At 43.5% G+C, this 6,000-nt stretch overlaps 1 protein-coding gene and 1 pseudogene across 21 annotated transcripts in view, besides 5 other annotated features; one reads left to right on the top strand and one right to left on the bottom strand.

The window, feature by feature from the left end:
- Positions 308–1,300, bottom strand: RPL5P6 (ribosomal protein L5 pseudogene 6; annotated as a pseudogene).
- Positions 2,234–2,783: an enhancer, noted in NCBI's record as "NANOG-H3K27ac-H3K4me1 hESC enhancer chr1:91487949-91488498 (GRCh37/hg19 assembly coordinates)". NCBI's record gives its function as "activates a minimal SCP1, AML or CMV promoter by ChIP-STARR-seq in naive H9 embryonic stem cells {active_cell/tissue: H9 hESC(naive)}" and the evidence as "EXISTENCE:reporter gene assay evidence [ECO:0000049][PMID:30033119]".
- Positions 2,784–3,333: an enhancer, noted in NCBI's record as "NANOG-H3K27ac-H3K4me1 hESC enhancer chr1:91487399-91487948 (GRCh37/hg19 assembly coordinates)". NCBI's record gives its function as "activates a minimal SCP1, AML or CMV promoter by ChIP-STARR-seq in primed H9 embryonic stem cells {active_cell/tissue: H9 hESC(primed)}" and the evidence as "EXISTENCE:reporter gene assay evidence [ECO:0000049][PMID:30033119]".
- Positions 2,921–3,150: a silencer, noted in NCBI's record as "silent region_1065". NCBI's record gives its function as "represses an Ori minimal core promoter by ATAC-STARR-seq in GM12878 lymphoblastoid cells {active_cell/tissue: GM12878}" and the evidence as "EXISTENCE:reporter gene assay evidence [ECO:0000049][PMID:35858748]".
- ZNF644 (zinc finger protein 644) overlaps positions 3,140–6,000 on the top strand; it is a 106,732-nt gene continuing 103,871 nt past the window's right edge. For 3 of the 21 annotated variants that reach the window (XM_017002493.3, XM_017002488.3, XM_005271257.6), the window contains exons 1-2: positions 3,140–3,185; positions 3,974–4,538. The gene's annotated coding sequence lies outside the window, so the exon portion shown is untranslated. Of the gene's footprint in view, positions 3,487–3,691; positions 5,193–6,000 lie in introns of those variants that run through there. The other 18 variants (NM_032186.5, NM_201269.3, XM_011542258.4 and 15 more) reach the window with 8 other exon arrangements.
- Positions 3,334–3,883: an enhancer, noted in NCBI's record as "NANOG-H3K27ac-H3K4me1 hESC enhancer chr1:91486849-91487398 (GRCh37/hg19 assembly coordinates)". NCBI's record gives its function as "activates a minimal SCP1, AML or CMV promoter by ChIP-STARR-seq in primed H9 embryonic stem cells {active_cell/tissue: H9 hESC(primed)}" and the evidence as "EXISTENCE:reporter gene assay evidence [ECO:0000049][PMID:30033119]".
- Positions 3,481–3,550: a silencer, noted in NCBI's record as "silent region_1064". NCBI's record gives its function as "represses an Ori minimal core promoter by ATAC-STARR-seq in GM12878 lymphoblastoid cells {active_cell/tissue: GM12878}" and the evidence as "EXISTENCE:reporter gene assay evidence [ECO:0000049][PMID:35858748]".

Raw genomic sequence — 6,000 nt, 5'->3', positions numbered from 1 at the left:
GATAATCTGTACAAAACCCCAGTGACATGAGTTTACCTATATAACAAACCTGCATATGTACTCCTGAACCTAAAATAAAAGTTTAAAAACAACAACAGCAACAAAAACCAGCATCTTGCTTTTTATTTCTTTAAAACATTTACCAGGTGTATTCATTGGAGCATCATTTTATTCACAATGTGTTATGAATTTTCTCCCAAACTGTTTTCCACATCTTGACTTTCATTCTCAACTGTGATTTCCTTAAATATTTTGGCACTGAGCCACATAACTTGTCTTTGGATTTTTTCAGTTGCCTGTATGTTTTTTTCTGTCCATAAGTTTATTGTCTTTATCTGAAAAATCCTCATAGAAAATTGTTTGGTTTAGCTCTCAGCAGCCCGCTCCTGAGCTCTGAGGAAGCTTGCCTTCTTTTGAGCTACCCAATCTTTCTTCTGAGCAAGGGACATTTTGGGTCGGTTCCACTTCTTCTTTTTAACTTCTTTCTTGGGCTTCTTTTCACAGACTGGACTCTCTCGTATAGCAGCATGAGCTTTCTTACACATCTCTTCCATCATGTCTGGAGTTACACTGTTCTTCATGTATTGAGAGAACTGTTTCTTGTAACCATCTTCATCTTCTTCCATTAAGTAGCACATGTAATCTGCAACATTGTGGCCCATGATGTGCTTCCTGTGTACTTCTGCATTAAATTTCTTGCTTTCAGAATCATAACCAGGGAATCATTTAGTACTGTGAGGGACAGACAAGCCCCCATGCACAGCTCCCTTCAGAGTGCCAAAAACTTTACTGCCAGTAGTAGTTCTGGCAAGGCCTGCATCCTAATTGCAGGTAAAGGCACCTGGCTGACCATCAATGCTTACCACATTGTAGTCATCGCCAGTTGCCTCCACTTGGCCTTCATAGATCTTGTCCATGTCAAACCTATTGAGAAGCCTGCGGTCCAGCAGCAGGCCAGTACAATACGCTGCAGCATAATTTGTCAGGTCAACCTTCACACCATATTTTGGCAGTTCGTGTACATATGCTGTGCAGACTATCATATCCCCCTCTGTACGGGCATAAGCAATCTGACAAATGATACTCTGTTTGTTCCACGAACTATCATCCTGTATTTGGGTATGTTGTATTCATTTTTATCCTGTATCACCAAGTGTTTCTGAGCATAGTAATCAGTTTTACCCTCTCGTCGTCTTCTAAATTTCACTTGATATCTCTTAAAGTAGGCCTTATTCTTAATAACTTTTACAAACCCCATCCTGCAGAACAGAGACCCACGTCTGCGGCTAGACAGAGAACTCACGTGTATTTTTTTTTCTTTTCGCATTACCTTATTCAAGCTTTCTGTCATTATATTTTCTGCCATTCATAGAAGCTTTTGAGATCCATTTTGTACAGCGTTTCATCAACTATTACTACTTCTACTATTATAATTACTATGATTACTTTTACTGCTATTATGACTTCCACAGTATTACAATTCAGTTGCTGAGTTCTAGTGTAAAAAACAGCTTCATTAGTGAGACAAGTTCCTGATCATGGCTGAGTTCTGAATGATTCTATTTGCTTGTGTGATTTGTCTGCACATTAGTCAGTGGTATACATTAATGACAGTTATTTTCTTAGTAACTGCTTTTACAGTGATATAATGTAAGAATTTCCATAGTACATAATATTTTGTAGTAAGTCCAATAGTAAACTGAGAATGTCCAATTTTAATGGATTCTGCAAACGAAATGATCCAAAGAGCACCCCTCCCCCATTGACTGCAAATATATACGTATTTATATTTTATTGTTTACACATTTGTGTAAATGAAGACAGGAGATTTGCATTTTAAAGAGCCCAAAGAACTGTATGACTTCGAGAAAATCACCTTACTCCTCTTTGTCTCATTGGGTTACAATGAAATCGAGCAAGTTAGAACAATGCCTGGTACACAGTAAGCACTCAAAAGTGTTAGCTATTAAGTAATGAAGCAATTAATGTGTTTAGTCAAATATTTGTTGTTTGGAATCTACGTTTGCTGTTGCTGAAGGCATCATTCCATAGGAAAGAGAATGTTTCTCATTCTTGTCAAATAAATGCAGTTATGGTATATTCTTCCGAATGTCAATAACATCTTGAGGGTTTGGAGGGCCACAGTAATGACAGCTGTACAACTAAGGAAAACTTTTTTATTTTTAAATTTTTAAATGAGTAAACAGAGGTTCAGAGAAGCCAAATAATTAAGGCGGGACCAGTAGATTTCTCAAGAACTCTTGGTTAATCTTAAACATGTTAGCAGTTTCTCGTTGGCTCAGTCGAAAAACAAAAGAATAGCCCACTCAGTGTTTCTCTGCCCCAGGATCCTGTGGTGAAGTCTTGTTAAAAATGAAAATTTCCAGAACCCTCTAGGGACTGATTCTCTGAAGGGTTAACCAGCATCTCACATGCTTCTTATATAACTTTAATTCGTAGAACCACGACACTTTCAGTAATGCAGGGAGAGAGTATCCTCAGAGAGTCAAACTGGAGCAAACCTCGGCCACCTTTCAGGGCAGGCTGTCCGGGTAACTGAGATGTCACACTTGATGCTTTGCCTGGCCATCAAGCAACTCCCAACAATCTGCCCCCTTAAGATCCTAAAACCTTCCCTCTGCCATTACTCCACAGTTGTGATTGGCAAATATTGCTGTTTTCCTCAACAAGAGGAAAATAACAGAGATTTTTGCACGCTCGTGATCGTGGAACTCAAACCTGGGCCTGTTCCACCTTAAAGGGCCTAGGCATGCCTAGTGCTTGGGTCTTGCAGAGTTTGGGCACCACCATATTTGGAGCGTGCCTACTTTGGGGCGGGAACCTCCTTGGGAGTGATTAGGTCAGCGCTGGGGGAGGTGACCTTGTTTGGTTTCTGGCACCCGAGAACAGTGGTGCACTGTTTCCGCTGCCCTCGTTTGTCTAATTGGCCCAGACGCTCCACCAGCGCGAAGCTTCCCGGGAGCTCCTCGCTGGCCACCCCCGCGGCCCGCAGCCCGGCAGAGGCGGGAAAGCAGCGCGCCTGCGCCGTGGGAACCGGGGCTGGAGGCGAAAAGCGGGGAGCGGAGGGGGGCCGCTGGAGCCGAGTAGCGTACAGAGCGGCGTGTGACGCGGGGACGCCGCGTGCTCCCAACGTCGCCCCGGTTTGACGCACACGGCACCAAACTGTGAGTTTCAGGGGTTATTTGGTCAGATTCGCTGGGACCCGAGTGGGTTTCGGGCCTCTGGGCTGTGGCAGCGGCGGGACTGAGGGTGGCGGAAGAACTTGGGGGACCCGGCCTCCGGCTCTCGGGCCCGGGGAGCTACGCCCTAGGCTGGGTCCCAGCCATCCAAAAGGACGCATTTTGCCGCACAGGCTAAGATGGCGGCGGCGGCCGAGGAGGCGGAGTTGGTGCTACACAAGGAGCCCGGGCCCCGGGTTCGGGGAGGCGGCGGCCGCGGCGGTCGCTGGGGGCCACGGAGCCTGAGGTGAGCGGCGGCCGCCGCCGCGGGGCGGGACTCGGCGGGGGGATGGGGGGGGGGCTTTCCGCTGCGGCGTCGGAGGATCCGGTAGCGGACACAAAGGGGCTGAGCTGGGCACTAGACTTGGGGGTTTTGTTTAGTCACATGAAGCCGAGCAGCCAGTGAGCAGTAGGGGGAAGGGGCCGAGATCAGGCGGCTTGGGGAGCCTGGCGGTCGCCATTGCAATGCACTGAGTAACGGGGCGGGCCGAGAGCAGTCACCAACCCCTCTCGTTGAGGCTGCTCGGTTGTGGCCAGAAACGCTGGCTCTGGCATTAACTGTCTACACCCCTCCCCTTACTTGGGACAGGACCGCATAGCCCTCCCCTCCCCCCGTCCTGCAAGATCTTATGCGGCTAGGTGCCTGGGAAGTAACAGCAAGAGGTAAATCGCTCGAAGTGTTTGGGTTGCCAGGGGCTTGGTGGGTGTCCAGCTAAAGCTTTTTGCCTCTCCAGGTCTGATTCTCTGGCCTTTGTGTCCCTGGGAAGTTACTCTGCCAGAGGAAAGCAGGTGTGCTCCACTTCTCCCGTGAACCTGAAGATGAGTTGTCCCAGACTCTTCTCAGTGATTGGAAACTTAGGTGGTGGAGCTAAAGGTTACTTGTTACGAGACTTCTACAGACAACTCTTGTTGGGATCCATCTATGGTTTAGCAACATTAGTGGAAAAGTTTTCTTGAATATTGACTTTGAATATAAAAACGTTTATATTTAGACTTCAGATTTTGTGTGATCATCAAACTCAACGAGGGGATAAACATAATTGGGGGCGAATGATGGTCTTGTCTTGTTAATAATTTCAACAGAAGTATCACAACACCGCCGACTATCCTGTCCAGTCCTAATTCCACGCTTGTTGCATCTGGATGGTAGATTTGTTTTAATTGTGTATTCCCTCCCTGCAGTAGTTTGCTTTAGTTGTAAACATTTTTTGGTCCCATGAGAAGGAAAACATTTCAAAAAATAGACAACTAAAGTTTCTCAAAGAAAGGAAACCTGGCTGTTTGCCTTCAGTTGCATGTGTAAGTATCTAGGGAACTTGATGGCAGTAATATTGCATTTTGGTAGGCTTGCTAAGAAAAACCTCGTTTTTATAATAAGGCTATAATCTAGCTTAGACATTTTAATTGGTGAAGCATAAAGCTTGATTAGTATTAATGCAGTGGTATGTATTGCTTTTAAAAGTCTTACAATTTCTAACAAATTAAAGTTATACTGCAATTATATCATACTTTGTGTTGGTATTAACTCATGAAGTACAAAATTTTGAAACACCTAATGTTTTGTGTTGGCAATTAACAGAATTCCTTGGTTGGAGGGATATTTAAACACATTAGATCACTGTGTAGATCTCTGTGTTCAAACTGAAATTTGAATTTTTCAACATTAGTTAACTTTCATTTCCTTGTTCTTTTCAGATATATATTTTCTCTTTTTTTAGCTTCTAATACAGAACAGTCTTGTATTAATGAATAGGAGATGCATTAACATTAGCAAATGTATTCCTGGATCATAAAGTTTTACAGTGGAAGCAATATCAAAGAACAACTGCTCTTACCCTCCTCTTTTACAATATATTGAGGACCAGAGATGATTAAGTTAGTGGCATAATGGAAAATTGCCTTTCAGCCTCTACCCATTGCTGTTTGTATTTGTCATATTGCTGGGATGAGAAGGTGAATATCTACAACTAATGGTTAAAAAAACAAGGGAATGTTATTGAGAATACTTGTTAATTAAATATTGTTAGGTTCATGAGAACTTCTGTGACAATAAGTTAAAAACTTTCATATTGGCCTGGCACGGTGGCTCACGCCTGTAATCCCAGCACTTTGGGAGGCTGAGGCGAGCAGATCACGAGGTCAAGAGATCGAGACCATCCTGGCTAACATGGTGAAACCCCGTCTCTACTAAAAATGTAAAAATTTCCTGGGCGTGGTGGTGCCTATAGTCCCACCTACTCGGGAGGCTGAGGCAGGAGAATCACTTGAACCCGGAAGGCAGAGGTTGCAGAGAGCTGAGATCGTGGCACTGCACTCCAGTCTGGTGACACAGCAAGACTACATCTCAAAACAAAAAAACAAAAAAACTTTCATATTCTGTGGTTAACTTGGTTTTTAAAGTGACTTTCAGTGAAACAAAATCAGGTACAAAATACAGAAATATCAGATAGTTTCAGAGCAATGTTGCTTTTGAATTTTAAGGTTTTCCAAATGCAGTCTTGACCCAGAAATTGAAAAATTAAAAAACAACAACCAGGGACTTGATAAATTTCTTTGAAAGTTTGAAATAACTGCTGTTATTGCCAGTTATTATGTAGGAAAAGAAATGAGATCAATGCTGAAAATAATGGTGTCTTTCATTTTGTAATAGTGTTTTGGTTGGATAAACGAATGTGCCACTCAGAATGTTCCCTTTCTTTAAAACAACTTTTTAAGACTACTACTTCTACTGAGTGGTACCTCTAAGGTCTGTTAGGAAATT

Source organism: Homo sapiens, chromosome 1 (genome assembly GCF_000001405.40).
Source record: "Homo sapiens chromosome 1, GRCh38.p14 Primary Assembly".
NCBI lineage: Eukaryota > Metazoa > Chordata > Mammalia > Primates > Hominidae > Homo > Homo sapiens.
This window is presented reverse-complemented; position numbering and strand designations above follow the sequence as displayed.